Source organism: Homo sapiens, chromosome 7 (genome assembly GCF_000001405.40).
Source record: "Homo sapiens chromosome 7, GRCh38.p14 Primary Assembly".
Lineage (NCBI taxonomy): Eukaryota > Metazoa > Chordata > Mammalia > Primates > Hominidae > Homo > Homo sapiens.
This window is the reverse complement of record NC_000007.14, coordinates 105,086,857-105,103,704: the sequence shown is the minus strand read 5'-3', so window position 1 is coordinate 105,103,704 and position 16,848 is coordinate 105,086,857. Positions and strand designations below refer to the sequence as shown.

General features: G+C 35.6%; 1 protein-coding gene across 7 annotated transcripts in view; it reads right to left on the bottom strand.

Moving 5' to 3' along the window:
* The window catches only part of KMT2E (lysine methyltransferase 2E (inactive)), a 100,815-nt gene that overhangs the window by 11,315 nt on the left and 72,652 nt on the right, over positions 1–16,848 (bottom strand). For all 7 annotated transcript variants that reach the window (XM_011516400.3, NM_182931.3, XM_005250493.2 and 4 more), the window contains 4 exons: positions 13,432–13,696; positions 12,391–12,489; positions 2,116–2,280; positions 1,511–1,819 (listed from right to left, as the gene is read on the bottom strand). In XM_011516400.3, the coding sequence (XP_011514702.1) occupies positions 1,511–1,819; positions 2,116–2,280; positions 12,391–12,489; positions 13,432–13,696 (838 nt within the window). The remainder of the gene's footprint in view (positions 1–1,510; positions 1,820–2,115; positions 2,281–12,390; positions 12,490–13,431; positions 13,697–16,848) is intronic.

Here is a 16,848-nt window from a genome sequence, read left to right as displayed (position 1 = left end):
CCACTGTAAACATTTTAGCATCTTTTCTGTCCCTCTCTGTATATAGAACTCCATTCCTAGGACTGCAGTAGTGAAACACATGGAGTCTGGAGCCAGACTGCCAGGAGGGTGAATCCTGGCTTTGCCATTTACACTATGACCATGAGCAAGTTAAGTAACTTTTTTATATCTCAATCTTTATCTGTAAAAGAAGGGTTGTGATAGAACCTAGTTCTATAAATAGGATTGTTATGAAGATTAAAAGTTCAATAACATACATAAAGCTCTTAGAACAGTATCTGGCACAGAAAAAGTGACATGTATTATTAAACTGAATGAGGCCTTTAGGGGAAATCATGATAATTTGGTACTCTGTCAAACAGTATGTTGTTTAAAATAACAAAATCTGCAGGCAAAAGAGGCTTTTTAAGAGAATCAGATAGGATGTAGAAGCCTACATCTCAGACCAGGGATTTAAATAAATTTATCGTACCACAACTTTGTTAAAAGTTTAATAAAAGGTAGGGATTATGTCATATTTGTAATTGAGAAAGTAGTTTCACTTCTTTTAAGCCTGAGGTTTTTTCTTTTCACTTTACAAAGTTAGAATTTTTTTGTCCATTGTTACAGGCAAATATTGGGTTGCTTAAGCTATGGCGGTGCAGTAAGGAGAGTACAGACTTTTAATTAGAAACAACTGTGTTTAGATTGTCTCTAATGAAACCTGCGACTTTGGCAAGTAAATTATTTAACTTGTGCTATTAAAATATAATCCTGGGTTCATACTAGAATTTTACTAAATGTACATGTCATGGTTTAGCAGCATGCCTACAAACTGTACTGAATTAGGTAAGAACAAAGACAGAATAAATGAAATTTCAAAGTAAAGTGTGTGAGAAGTATACATTCATGATCTACCCCTAAACAGCATAAGGATTACCACACTTTAGTATCTCTGCCCCAATCTGCTGTACTCCAGTCAGAGTGGGAGACAAAGAGCAGCTTCATTAGGATGTTCTGTTATTTCTGATCTGAAAAAGCTCAGGCTGTTTACCGTAATTGCTTAAGTCTGACAGTAGTGTTTCAGAGATTTTTATTAATAATTACACCTAAAACTACTCTTTCTTACAAATTTTCATAGTACATTCTGTGGAAATCAATTTCTTCACATTTAATTCTTATAATCTACCTATACAATGAAATTTATAAAAATATAAAGGATAACACATCTAAAACCAGTTTCAGAGAAGTATATATTTTGTACATAAAGTAGACAAACTTATTTAAAGAAATCATGAATTGCAATACCATAAAAGTCCTGATAAACTGAATGTAACTTTATCTTCACAGTAATGCAAACATTTATATTAATTTTACAGTTTTGGAATTCTCATTCTTAGTTTTAAAATCTGCAAGTATAAAAACTGCCTCTTATTATTATGAGGTCTTAAAAATCCAATTTTTAAAACAACAATATAATTAATATAAGAAACTGTTAGAAAAACAGTTCTTACATTCATTAGAATCATACCTTCTTTGTTTTGGGGTACTTGGTAGGACATTTATTAAGTGCTGGAACTTCAGTTTCAGTAATTATTTCTGCTAGTGCAGTTTCAGTTTCTGGTTCTATTGTAAGTACAGTATTTTCAATATCATTTTGTTGTGAAGTAACTTCTATATCAGGAGAAGATGGCTGGATATCTGAACACATGCTGACAGTTCTGTGTCTCCGACGCTGCTGTCCAATGTGAGTCCTACTCCGAGAAAAACTTTTTCTCTGTTTAGTTCTATTTACTTTGGCAGGGGTTGGCTTGCTAGCATTTTCTTCTTTTGCTTGTTCCTAATTCAAAATACAAGCGAATGGAAGTTTTTATACTACATATATATAAAGTTTAAATATAATAGCATTATTCTACTTCAGAAGCCAACTTTCTGGAATTTTTGAATTCTGATATATAATAAAGAACAGAGATAATATATAGTCTTTTATCTCAAGCTGAAACTCCCATAGGATCTGAAAAATGCTATTAAAAAGCTAATAGACATTATTTTAAATTCCTTATAAGTAATTAATGCAAGTATAGACATTTTATTTTAAAGTGTTTAAGAAAATAAAACGACCTGAATAAATAATACCTGAATAACTTCAGCATCACTGACAATCTGTGTATCTTTACATTCAGTTTTAACTTCAGTTTTGGCTGTGCTGATCCTTTCCAAAGCTTGTTCTCTTCTTTTCTCTCTCTTTTCAAGTCTGGCAAAAGCTTGCAAAATTGCTTCCATTTTTCTTTCTTCTCTTGTCTATGAAATTTAAATTTTAAGTGACATCATAAATATCAATGCTCAAAAGTAAAATTAAGTCCAAATGTTTGTGATAAATGTAAAAAATAATTGCTATGATACTATCAGCAAACTACTTCTATTATTGGTGGATATGGGGAGAAAAAACATTTCTGTTCATTGAAGACCTTTCAGAATTCCCATCATCTTGGTAAGCCCTGTTATTGCAAATATTTCATGAAGGAAACACTTGGATGACTGAGTGTTAATGATAAGGGTAAAACAAAACAAAAAAGCCTCAAAAATTACCTTGTTTTACCAAACCGAAAATCTTTTCTCTTAATAATACAGAAATCAGCCTTTTAAAAAAAGATCCAAAATCCCTAAGGTAATGATATGTTGAAAAGGTAAAATTCATATGCACTTGAGTGAGTATATTATTGGCATACTGCAGCAGGATGTTGTGAGGTAAAGTCTTGCATTTAAAAATTATGATTCTCATTTGGTAAGTATCTCTGTGACTCCAGGCAAGTTAACCTTTCTGAGACAGTAAGATGTGGGTAATAAAATCCTTTCCAAAGCTTGTTCTCTTCTCTCTTTTCAAGTCTGGCAAGAAGTTCATTTATGATGAACTTCTCTGAGTTGTTATTTGGTTCCAACAGAAAATACGAGGTTTTCAAACAGTAGTTGGAAAATGGTGGGCGTTCTGTATGTTAATTATTATTTCTACTTTAGTCCTCTTGCCCTCCATTGTAATTCTTATAAAGTATTCCTCTACCTTCTGCTCTTCCTGTCTTCACTGACAATTCAAGACAGGGACTGAGAAACAGCCAAGTGTTCCTTTGAGCATCAGTTCTCTATCCAAAGAGAACATTAAGAGTAAGACCCAGAGCCTTGACAGATGCTTCAGCTCTAAACCAGAACCAGGAACCACATCCATCAACTGTCCAGTTCTTAAAATGAAAAGAACCACAGGTCCTGAGGCTCAGATCCATTTGTCTTTCCTCCTTTATTACACATCGATGTGAGGAAGAAAGATCAGAAACTCAAGGTCTGGATGCCACAGTCTTCTCAATATTGGAGCTTTAGTTCCAGTAATTACCAGCAGAGATTCAAGCCTCAAGATACCTACACTTTGGAAACTACTGTTTACCTGTTCCTGTATTTTTGTTGTTGTTGTTACACTCAGCAAGGGAACAAAATACTATGTCAACAAAAGTACTCTAATAATACTTCTAAGTTTCTAATTTGTTACAGCAAATTTCCATATTGCAAACATGACTCTGAGGAAACTGAGGTCCAAAGAGGTAAGGTTCTTTGTTCATGGATTACGTATCTGTATCTCACTTCTCCTAGTCTGGGACGGGCAAACACTACAATAGCACATGCAAAAGATGGTTCTACTTGTTCACTGGCACTGAAAGTTTTACAGCTGAGTTCTTTCCTTACAAAATTCCTTATTTTTGGGCTTTTAAATTACCTTTACCCCTTTTTGTCTTGTGGTTCTCTGTAAAACTGTTTTTATCAGGGCTTCTCTAAAACCCTGAATGTAGAAGAGGAGAAATTTGGAGTAACTAAAAAGATCATTTTCCCAAACTGCGCTTTACCTGATGAACCTGGTTGGAGAGGAGGGATTAATTACTATGGTTATTTCTTTTCAAAAAATTTAAAATAAAAAATTTGGGGAAAGTACATTTTTCCAGAAGAAACAAACTTGTCTTGGCAAAAATCATTGTATGTGTAAAATAAAAAACTACCCACAGGTGGGCACCCAAGGAAGATATTTTTTGTAGTATGATTATCCTGGGTGTTGTAAGGTAAATATGAATTTATGCCAACAGAGTCTGACATAGTCCAATATTTTCTTGTTTGGGATACAAGAAATATTTTCTTGTTTTGGTCAGAGATAAAACTATATGATATAAACATTCAATTAAAAAATCAAACTCCCCTGTAAACACTACAGCTAATTTATAGTCAGAGCAAAATCCTGTATTTAGAGATGGTTCATAATCTTCTAGAGTTGATCAGGATCTTAAAAAATAATGTGGTCCAATACTGCTGAAGAAACCAAAGCCCATGTGTATTAAGTGACTCATTCAAAAGCAGAGCCATAATTACTATGCAGGTTATGCAGGTTTCCTGGTTTCTGTATTACTCTTCTTTCCAATTACTGCCGCTACATAAAGCAAAACTCTTCCTACATTACTACAGCTGGGTAAGAATAAAGCTTAAGCACTAAACATTTCCTAACAGCTTTAGACCTAGCTTTATCTTAAAATACACAAATATTTTGGAACATAAACGTGCCTGATTTTCTACATTTATTTTTAATTTCTTAAAGGTCATACATCATTCAGCTTTTCTAGTCACCATTACATACAGTACATTCTTTGACACAGCCATGTATATGGTACCTATTTAAAGACAAAATTTGCCTCCCATTTTATAGCTCTAACTGAAAAATAAGTTTTATTCTTTGAGGTAGTTAGAGCTGACTCTGGAGATAGAGAAATTAGGATTCCTAATTAACCCCTGCAGACTTTCCATAGCCCCTAACACCTGTGCTATATAATCTAAACTCGATAGATTTCCCATGAAATCTATACATTGTTTTTATGACATATGTCTTAGTTTATGGTTTTCCAAGAGTAAATACCAAGCATTGTAATTTCCTATAAGCAGTCTGCTTAATAATATCCCCATCACAAAGCAAGACTCCCATCTCCACAAAAAAATTTAGGCTGGGCGCAGTGGTTTATTATGCCTGTAATCCCAGCACTTTGGGAGGCCGAGGAGGGTGGATCATGAGGTCAAGAGATCAAGACCATCCTGGCCAACATGGTGAAACCCTGTCTTTACTAAAAAAACAAAAATTAGCCAGGTGTGGCACGCGCCTGTAGTCCCAGCTACTCAGGAGGTTGAGGCAGGAGAATCACTTAAACCAGGGAGGTGGAGGTTGCAGTAAGCTGAGATTGCGCCACTGCACTCCAGCCAGGTGACAAAGCAAGACTCTGTCTCAGGAAACAAACAAAAAAATTAGTGGAACATGGTAGCATGCACCTGTAGTTCTGGCTACTCCAGACACTGAGGCAGGAGGATTGCTTGAGTCCAGGAGTTGGAGGCTGCAGTAAGCTATTGGTCATACCACTGCACTCCAGTTTGGGCAACAGAGCGAGGCCCTGTCTTTATCTAAAAAAAAAAAAAAAAATAGGAAAAGGAAAGCCAGAGCCCACCTACAAAATCACCCTATTCTTCTTTGGTCTTGAAATAGAGAAATTAAATGATTCCTTGCTCAAAAAAACTTGTTACCCTTTTATATAACAAAGATAAACTTATAAATCTAAAAAGATGGGTAAGATTATTTGTTACTAATAAAAATCATTCCAAAATAACACGTATGGCTTGTGTGGTGTCTCCATTTCCTCTATCATGTGATGATGGAATTTATACTCATGGCACTCTTTATTATTTTGATACTCGTTTGTTATTTCCTCTACCCCATTCTCTACGAAAGCTTTTCCAGAGCAGTGACCTTTCCTTCTTTGCTCATCCGATATCTCAAATGGCAAGCACTCACATTGTTTTTAAATGAGTAAGAACCATGTGTACATTATGTCAAGCACGTATCACGTTACTTAAAGACATGTAACTAACTGGAAGCATTTCAACAATTTTGGAAATCTTGAATTTATTAGAAGGCAGTTAAAGCTGATTAACCTCATTTTGTTTGAACTGAGTACCTAATAAAAATAGGTGGCTGGGCACAGTGGCTCACGCGTGTAATCCCAGCACTTTGGGAGGCAGAGGTGGGTGGATCATCACAAGGTCAGGAGTTCAAGACCAGCCTGGCCAACATGGTGAAACCCCATCTCTACTAAAGATACAAAAAATTAGCCAGGCGTGGTGGTGGGCACCTGTAATCCCAGCTACTTGGGAGGCTGAGGCAGGAGAATCACTTGAACCCGGGAGGCAGAGGTTGCGGTGAGCCAAGATTGTGCCACTGCACTCCAGGCCTGGCAACGGAGTGTGACTCCGTCTCAAAAAAAATGAAAAAAATAATAAACAGGTTCCCTTTCACTAACACCACAATGTCATTAATTACTTATCTTTAGAAATAAAATTCCCAGTCTCTACAATTAGAGAAAACAGGACCTTACAAAAAAAATCAGCATCAACGGAGGACAGAACAGGGAGTTGGATAACATCTCAAATCCTGTCACCAGATGACTTTTCTGGCAACAAACTTATCCTATTTTATTATTAAAGCATTGCATATTCTAAAGTGATTTTCTAAATGAAGTCAGTCAAGTTTTCCTAGAGACATTTAGTAACAGCATGGATTCTGCAGTGTTTTCCCACAGAGTCTGTTCCACTGAATAACACTCTGTGGGGGTCAAAGGTGTTATCCACAAGAAACTGCAAGGGTATACAAGTTTAGGAAAATCTGACAATTGTGTCAAGTTTTTAAACACATGTACACTGGTAATCTGAAAAGGAAGAATATAGTATAGTGCTCATCACAGTAAACTGGTCACGGCTCTTTTTCACAAAGCATCTCAAATTATACTTGCGTGGAATACTTGATGTGAAGGATGAAAGCCGAGAAAATTGTGGGGAATCCTGCACAATTCAGGGCAAGGCCTCCAGATCATCCATTACCTGAACTACAGGGAAGCTTCATTCAGTTCACATTCATGGGCCTGTATCTGTCTGTCTATCTTTCCTCAAGTGGTTGTTATAAACATTCAGTTAGCTCATTTATTGATGGTCTACTTTTTTGCCCACCATTTTTTATTCCCCTAGGAGCTAGGGCTACAACAATGAATAAAACTGAAAGTTTTTTCCCTCATGAAGTTTATGTTGTGGTGGTATAAAAATTCCAGACTAGACTATAATACCTGCTTGACAAGTCCAGGAATCTCTTGCCTACGTGACTTCCTTGTCATACCCTTTCACCGTTTCTCAAATGTCCGTCCTTTTAAATATGAAGACCACACTGAATCATCTTCTGTGGACTCAATTTTAAGCAATCTGATAATATAGGCCATCAAATATTACCAAGATTGTATTCCCAAAGTACATTATGAGGGTTATGAAAAATTATTTTGGAAATATTTTAAAACTACAAAGGAGACAGTTTTCATGCCATTATAAATGGGGGAGGAAGTGTCTTTTTTTTTTTTTTTTTTTTTTTTGAGCCTTTCACTGTCACCCAGGCTGGAGTGCAGTGATGCCATCTTGGCTCACTGCAGCCTCCTCTTCTGGGTTCAAGTGGTTCTCATGCCTCAGCCTCCCAAGTAGCTGGGATTATAGGCATGTGCCACCATGCCTGGCTAATTTTTGTATTTTTAGTAGAGATGGAGTTTTGCCATGTCACCCAGTCTGGTCTCGAACTCGTGGACTCAAGTGATCCACCCACCTTGGCCTCCCAAAGTGCTGGGGTTGCAGGCGTGAGCCACCAAGCCCAGCAACAAGTCTCTTTTAGTATTTAAATCTTTCAGAAGTTTGCTGCTTTTAAAATGATCACTTTAAGCTACAGGTATACCCCCCAGTATCTAATCCCCTTCCACATGTACTGTTTATATGAGAAGATTACAGCCATCTAGCCCCACCTCCACAAATATACTAGGAGGACACTCAGTAGTGCCCTGGTTTTTGGAATCTAGTGAGTATAAACAGTCTACTGTATTTCAGTCTACTGGGCTTATGGTAAGATTTTCCTAACGTACAATAACCATGCAGTTCCACATAACTTAGCCACAAATTTGCTTTTGTAAAAGCAGGTAACGACTTCTTAAGGATAAAAAAGACAAAATATCATGGATGGAAAAAGAAAATGTTCATAAAAGAAAAATCCAAAAGGCCAAAAGGGGTAGAGGTAATGGAACTGGAAATGAAAAGGCCTTCCATCTTGGCCACATAAATATTCTTTCATGAAATCTTCATCCCTGAGTATTTTGTGTGACCTATAGCCAACTTTATCTCCCTAGTAGCCCTCTCCTCCTCCAAAAACAGCCTATAATCCCAACCAAATATATTTACAGCTCTCTCCAAGATTTCCCCCTGGAAAAATACATTCCATGAAACTTTGTCATAAGCTAACCTGTATTTGGTTAAACCCTACTCAAAAGGTCCATCATAAATATAAATACAAAAATATATTAAATATACATAAATATAAACATGTATTACCTAGAGTTCATGAGACAATCTGATCTCTCTCCAGCTATAAGCTATGTATCATATTTATATTTCCTTCACTTATTGCTGAGTTGTATTTATTTTTGTGAATACTTCTAAAAGCAGAGATACTGCCTTATCTTCCATTCTCATTTAAAAAAATGAAGCCAACAACCAAAATACATAAATACCCTGGTGCACTTTTTGGAAATTCAGCATGATTTTAATCAGTGGTATATGAAATTATGTATACAGGTTAAAATTGCCAATTTTGTATTTTTCAAGCTGTACTACAAAAGGATAGGGTGAAGTACAGTAGATCCCACTTATTCACAAGGGATACATTTCAAGACCACCAAAGCATGCCTGAAACTGCAGATAGTACTGAACCCTATATATACAGTGCTGTTTTTTGCTATACATATGTAACTATAACAAAATGGAACAATTATAACCATATACTGTAATGACAGTTATGTGAATGTGATATCTCTCTCAAAATATCTTAATATTGTGAACCTCAGTGGGTAACTGAAACCTGGGAAAGCAAACTTGCAGGTAAGGAGGGACTACTGTACATTTAAATTTGGTGATTACATGGAGTTTATCTGGGAGGATGTTATTACTGACTCGTCGTATTCCAATCTGATAAATACATGATACCGAGTCTAGGTGAACATCTTAAATCTGAAATGCTCTGAAATCCAGAACTTTTTGATGGCCAACATGGTGCTCAAAGGAAACGCTTATTGGAGCATTTCAGATTTTTGGATTTGGGATGTTCAACTGGTAAGTGCAATGCAAATATTCCAAAATATTAATCCTGGAAAATTTCTGGTCCTGGAAAAGTAATACTCAACCTGTATCTCCATAATGGTTTGGAAGTCTATCTTGTCACAGGTGGAAATTTAAATCAGTTTGACGTAAGTTTCTCAAGAGTAGTATGCTACCATCTTTATTCTACCTAGTATTAGTTGTCCCTCTTTGTCACTTTTTGACTTGACGTTATCTTTCTGACTACTGATGTTAATCTAACCAATATAAAAATCAAGACTAGGAAAATAAAAGGTGATTCATTTTAAACTTTTCAAAACCAAATATAATACTAATACTTGGGGGTGGGGAACTCTACTAATTGCTTAGGAATCCTAGGATGCATGATTTTTCATTCTGCTTATTTGACTACATCAAAAAATTCTGTAATGCAAACATCAAAGCAAATGAACTAATTAGAAGTAACAATTGTGATAACTTGGAGAGCTATGGGTCAGCAGCCAAGGATTTTTAGATTTTAATTTCATATCCTTTCGAAATACCAAATTAAAGACATTTATACTTTGCAAGTTTTCCACATTTTATTCCCATGAAAAATACTCAGTTTCATATCCACCTTAGTGGCAGATGACAGAATATATTAAAATGGATATAAAAACTTTGAAGTATTCTTCATCTTACTATAGCATACTAATAAGCAAAATCAGGACCAAAAATGGATTCCAAGTAAGTAAGCCAATATACATATATATTTTCTAAGTTCCACCAAGTTTAACATTGAGTATACAATTCTCTTTTTTTTTGGAGATGGAGTTTCGCTCTTGTTGCCCAGGCTGGAGTGCAATGGCGTGATCTCAGTTCACTGCAACCTCCGCCTCCCAGGTTCAAGTGATTCTCCTGCCTCAGCCTCCCAAGTGGCTGCGATTACAGTCACATGCCACCATGCCCGGCTAACTTTTTTGTATTTTTAGTAGAGATGGGGTTTCATCATATTGGTCAGGCTGGTCTCGAACTCCTGACCTCAGATGATCCACCCGTCTCGGCCTCCCAAAGTGCTGGGATTACAGGCGTGAGCCACCGCGCCCAGCAAATATCCAATTTTCTTCTGGCATCTGGAAATGAGGATGTTCTAAGATCCACTAACATTGTCAGCATTTACAGAAGAATATATATTTAAAGTAGCCCCATACAAATGTTTTTAAAGAGAATTCAATCTGAATAAAATTACTGTATTTACGGGCAAAGAACAAACCCCCACTGGTTTTCTGTTTTTGTTTGTTTGTTTGTTTTGTGACAAGGATCTCACTCTGTCATCACCTAGGCTGGAGTGCAGTGGTAGGATCACAGCTCAGTGCAGCCTTGACCTCCTAGACTCAAGTGATCCTCCCGCTTCAGCACCCTGAATAGCTGGGACTACAGGCATGCACTGTCACACCTGGCTAATTTTTAAATTTTTTGTACAGATGAGGTCTCGCTATATTGCCCATGGTGGGTCTCTAACTCCTGGGCTGAAGTGATCTTCCCACCTAAGCCTCCCAAAGTGCTGGGATTACAGGTGTGAGCTACCACGCCTGGCCTATGATTTTTTTTTATTTCATTTTTTCTCCAAAGTGGTCACTACAGCCCTTAAAGCCAGTTACAGAAGAGGTTCCTCCCACCAGACACATGCCACACACAGAAATAAGTAATACTCTAAATTGGTTTCCTAAAAATTCCCAGCACAAGGCTGTGTCAGTTGAAGAATAAACAGAACAATACTAAAAATCAATACTCAATAAAGAGCCATAGGTAACTTGAAAAGGCACACATAACTTATATATAATTGAATCTCAAAAAAGGTTCAAGATAATCCCTTTAGGTACAAGAATTCTTCCTTTATAAACTCCTCTAATATTTTCTGTTTGCTTTTCTTCTAATACTACCTTGTCTCAACAGACCAGTGTTCCTAAAATCCTAAGGCTCTGAAACAGTTCTTTATAGTTTTCAGAATTTTGAGTATCAATAATTCATCAATATTAGAAAACTATCAAGGTGATACAAACAGGCACATATTAAGTAGGTCAACAATGACCAAACTTTTTTTTTTGGAGATGGAGTCTTGCTCTGTCACCCAGGTTGGAGTGCAGTGGCATGATCTCAGCTCACTGCAACCTCCACCTCCCAGGTTCAAGCAATTCTTCCACCTCAGCCTCTTGAATAGCTGGGAATATAAGCCTGGCTAATTTTTGTATTTTTAGTAGAGACGTGGTTTTGCCATGTTGACCAGGCTGGTCTTGAACTTCTGGCCTCAGGTAATCCACCCACCTTGGCCTCCCAAAGTGAGTGGTGTGAGCCACCGCTCCCAGCCAACAATGACCAACCTTTCAAACATCCCACCCTTAAATATGTGACGTGAGAGTCCATGGAATACAACATAGAAACCCTGAAAACAGGACACAAAGGACCATACAAAGTAAAGGGGAATGGGGAGCACCTATCATAAGGCCATCAGTCAGTTTGTAAAGTCATTTTCAAATTTTAGGGCATGGAAAGTATACCATATTTTCTTAACTGGCTGATATATCAAATGCTAAATTACCTTCACTGACAGATCAAATGCTAAATTACCATAATTTGTAAGAAAATATCCTGTCCTAATTTTTATACAGATAAAAGATTTGTAAATAGTACAAGGAATATATATCCTAAATTTATTTTAATGAGAACCTTATTGTACGATAGCAGTGTGAGACTGTAGAAATAGCTACCAGTGGTAGGTTTTTTTTTTTTTTTGCATAAGCAATTTATTTGGTGCTATAGTAAGGTTTAAATTTGTACTTTTATTATATTTCAAATCATGAGAGGATACATTTAGCTAATAAAAGACATTCTGAACAGTAATTGTGGCATTAAAATTTATTAATAGTTCAGTGTGGCATTATTAAAATATTATTACTTCCAAAATGTTCATATTTCTTAAATGTCATACATTCTTAAATCTCTAATGAACAACCAATAAAAATACAAGATTAATGGAATTTATTTAAATGGCAATGACCAAACCAAATAAAAATGCTCAATGGCACATCATTCGCTAACTTCAAAGAATAATGTAAAAGCCCATGTAAAGGCAGCAACAATTACCATATGCAGAGCAGCTGTCACTAAGCCCAAACTACTGGCTTCCCAACTTACCATCTTCCTTTTCCTTTCTGCAATCTGCTCCTCTGATTCCATTTCTACTTCATTACTAATAGGAGTTTTTTCTTCTATATCATCAATAAAATCTGGTTCCTGAAAAATGGAAATGACTTCTTTATACAAACTATTATTCCATCTATACAACTAGTGACATTAAACTATTTTAATGTCTTTCAACCACAACAAATTCAACATGTACACAGCCTATTTAAATTATTTAAGAAATTTAAAACTGGTTTCCTAATTCAAGATACTTTTCAAAATTATGCAATCAAATACTTTCGCTTTTTAAATTTTAGCCAATCAAGTTTTTATCAATATAGGTCAAATATGGTAGCATGGCCTTACATTTATAAAGTTCCCAAAACATAAACATATAAATTATTTCAGAAAAACCCACAAATACCCAGTGCTCAAAAAGTGTTTGTTCAGTTGAAAGTTTAAGGGAAATCATTTCTAGAAGATAGGCCCCTGGAAATGAGCAAAACCTTACTTAATTTTCACATTTTAATGATCCCTCCTGTTTTTTGTTTATAGAGGACATATAACAATATATTTACTGGTGGGGCAGGTAGACTTTGGCCAGACTTTACCCCCAAAATTACCTTATATGTTCTTAGTGAATTTTCTCTCAAAAATTTTATTTGCTGTTATTGTGACATGCTTATAGAATTTATAAGATTACCAGCATCCACATGTTTAAAGAAAGAAAATTTTGCAGCTTAAGACTTTAAATAAGAACATTTATTATGAACATAAAGTGCCATCTAGAAGATTTTTAAAAGTTATCTAGTCTTAGGAAAATCTTGTCTGCAATTCTGCAAGGATTTGCTTGCTGAGCTGTTTCTTAATAATTCAACAAATACTGTACAAATTCTAGCAGAACTTGTATTTTACACTTATGAATACTTCATTAAATGACAGAATGGACTTAAAAATACTTTAAACAATTATACATAGAACAAAGAAGAGGATAAAATATGACAGATTATTTTCCTTTGTTTATTCAATTTCATTGAGAGCAGAGTTCAGTACCTGATTATTTGATACTGATAGTCTCAGTGGAGAAAGCTTTCTTTGTTTAGTTTCTGGGCTCTTCATTTTGTTGGTCGTTCCTTCACAATCCAAAGTAATATTCTGATTTTGTGTATCTTTTTCTTTTGAAATATCTTTGTCTTTTTTTCCTTTTTTCCGTCTGGTCTCATAACCACTATTGATATTTTCCATGGATTCAGAACTACGTTTTAGAACAGGGCACTCTGGGTTTTCTTTGAGGCATGCACAGTCCACCTTGTACTTACTGGAAAGATAACCAGTTAAATATTTATTTCAAAATATAAAACAAAACTGGAAATTTTCTAATCCATTTTAAGCTGCAACTCCACAAAATTGTATGCAATTACTATTAATTATAAGCAATCCTTTTTAGTAATTTACATTCCTAGTTAACTACCACAAAAAATTTTTTTCATTAAAATAATATAATAATTAGATGTTGATTTCTGACCAGATATTAGGCCTTCAATCATAAGTATAACTGGTACAGGTTAAGCATGCCTTACCTGAAATGCTTAGGACCAGAAGGGTTGTGGATTTTGGAATGTTTGCATATATATAATGAGATATCTTGGGGAATGGGATTCAGGTCTAAACACAAAATTCACTCATGTTTCATATAGGCTAAAAGTAATTTTATATAATATATTTACTAATTCTGTGCCTGAAACAAAGTTCTGACTGCACTTTGACTGTGACCTATCATATGAGGTCAGGTGTAGAATTTTCTACTTGTGGCATCATGTCAGTGCTCAAAAAGTTTAGGATGGCCAGGCACAGTGGCTCTTGCCTGTAATCCCAGAACTTTGGGAGGCCAAGGCGGGCAGATCACTTGAGACCAGCCTGGCCAACATGGTGAAACCCCGTCTCTACTAAAAATACAAAAATTACCTGGCCATGGTGGCAGGCACCTGTAATCCTGGCTACGCGATAGGCTAAGGCAGGAGAATTGCCTGAACCCAGGAGGCAGAAGTTGCAGTGAGCCAAGATTGTGCCACTGCATTCCAGCCTGGGTGACAGAGTGAGACTGCATCCAGAAAAAAAACAAAAAAAGTTTAGGATTTTGGATTTCAGATTTTTGCATGAGGGATGCTCAACATGTAATATATTACAGAAGAAGAAAAAAACAAACACATTAAAACTTTGAGTCTTTTAAAGCAAAATGATACTGTGGTTTACACAAAACATTAAGGCAGAAACCATAATTACTTCAGTATCCCAGAGTGCTTTATAAAATACTGAACTGAAATGTGACCTACATAAGAAACATTAAGTATAACAAATACTGAACCTCAACTAGTTTGTCTTACCCTTTAAAGAATGATAGCAACAACCGGGTTTCTTTAAAAAGCTACCTTGATAAAATTTAATGTTTCCTTTTCACCATACTAAGTGTTCCCTCTTTCAAATGGAAGCCTGAGAAATAACTGCACTCTGTCTCATCTTCACAGTAAGGATATTGCCCCCATTTTACAAGTGAGATTAAAACTCACTGAGGATTAGCATCTTGTCCAATGTTACACAGTTAGTAAGTGGAAAGGACGGCATTTAGATCCAGGTCTGTATGACTCTCAGGCGCATGTACTTTTCATTTCAATATTTCTCAACTCTGACCACTTTATCTTTACCACAGCTGCTAAGATGTAGTTCATCTCTATGATACAGGCCAAATGCCCAAACCTCAGTTAAAACAATAATACAAATCTCCCACTTTGCATGTTTTAAGTAGTTGAATGTTTGTTCACAATAAGAACAATTTACTTATTAAGTGTCTAATATTCCTAACTCATTTACTTTTAAAACTGCTAGAAAGATTCAAATCCAACTTCCTAATTCTGTGAACCAGGGAGAGAATTCAAACATTTATGGTCCTACCTCCCGCCTCCCAAATCAGGTATTAACAGATACTAGCTTGAAACTCGTTCTAGATGTTTGATTTTAGGACAAGAGAACTACAAACAATAATGATGGCAACAGCTTTTGTTTATTAAGCACTTTAGGTGAGTATTATTCTTCTTCTCATATACGTGAGGTAATGCAGCACAAAGTGATGAAGAAATTGGTCCAAGGTTACGTAGTCAGTGACCAAGCCGGGATTTGAAACCAGACAGATTACATTCTTAACCTCTATGGGATATGTAATCCCACAAAGCACTGAGCAAAGAACTATGCTAAATCTCCTACCTTCGAGAGGAGAAAGGACTAAAATGATATGATAAATCTGACTGCAATAATCAGTAGAAAGGGATACTAAAGGAAAAGGGATTTCACCAAGAGAAAACATAATGAACATTTTAAAAACTTCATTTAAAAAGAGTATCACACAAAGTTTAAAAATATATAGAATAAGAGGAACTGAATCGAATTGCTTATAACCCAAAAGACTACAGAATATATAAAGAACTTCTGGGAAAAAAAAAAAAAAAAAAGCAAGAAAACAGCTACCCAAAAGAAAGATGGACAGATGATATGATCAGGCAATTCACAAGAGAGAAATCCAAATGACAACACAGAAAAAGACCTCTGGGAGGCTGGGCGTGGTAATTCACGCTTGTAATCCCAGCACTTTGGGAGGCCGAGGCAGGTGGATTGCCTGAGCTCGGGAGTTGGAGACCAGCCTGGGCAACACGGTGAAACCCCGTCTCTACTAAAACACAAAAAATTAGCTAGGCGTGGCAGTGTGCGCCTGCAGTCCCAGCTACTCAGGAGGCTGAAGCAGGAGAATTGCTTGAACACAGGAGGCGGAGGTTGCAGTGAGCCGAGATCGCGCCACTGCACTCCAGCCTGGGTGACAGAGCAAGACTCCATCTCAAAAAAAAAACAAAAAAAAAGAAAAAGACCTCTGCATTCATGAATAATCAAGGAAAATGGTAAATAAAAATATTAATATAAAGAGATGCCATTCAACATGAGCTAGCATATATGTAATATATGCTATATTTATATTTATATATTATATATATTATATCATATTTATATATTATATATATGCTCATGTTGAATGGTATCTCTTTATATATATGCTTATATAATATATATTATATAAGCATATATATAGCATGTATATGCTAATATATATTTTATTATATACCAGTCCGCATGACCTAGCATATATAATATACATTAGCACATACATAGCACATATGCTATAATGTATATTACATACGCTATATATTATGTATTATATATTATATATGCTATATATATTATACATGCCATATATTATATTATATGCTATATATTTGCCAACAAATAGCATATACAGCGTATAATATATAGTATATATGCTAATATTACATATAGCATACTATATATACTTATATGTAGCATATATATGCTATATAATATATAATATATATGCTATAATATATAGCATATATATGCTAATATATATTA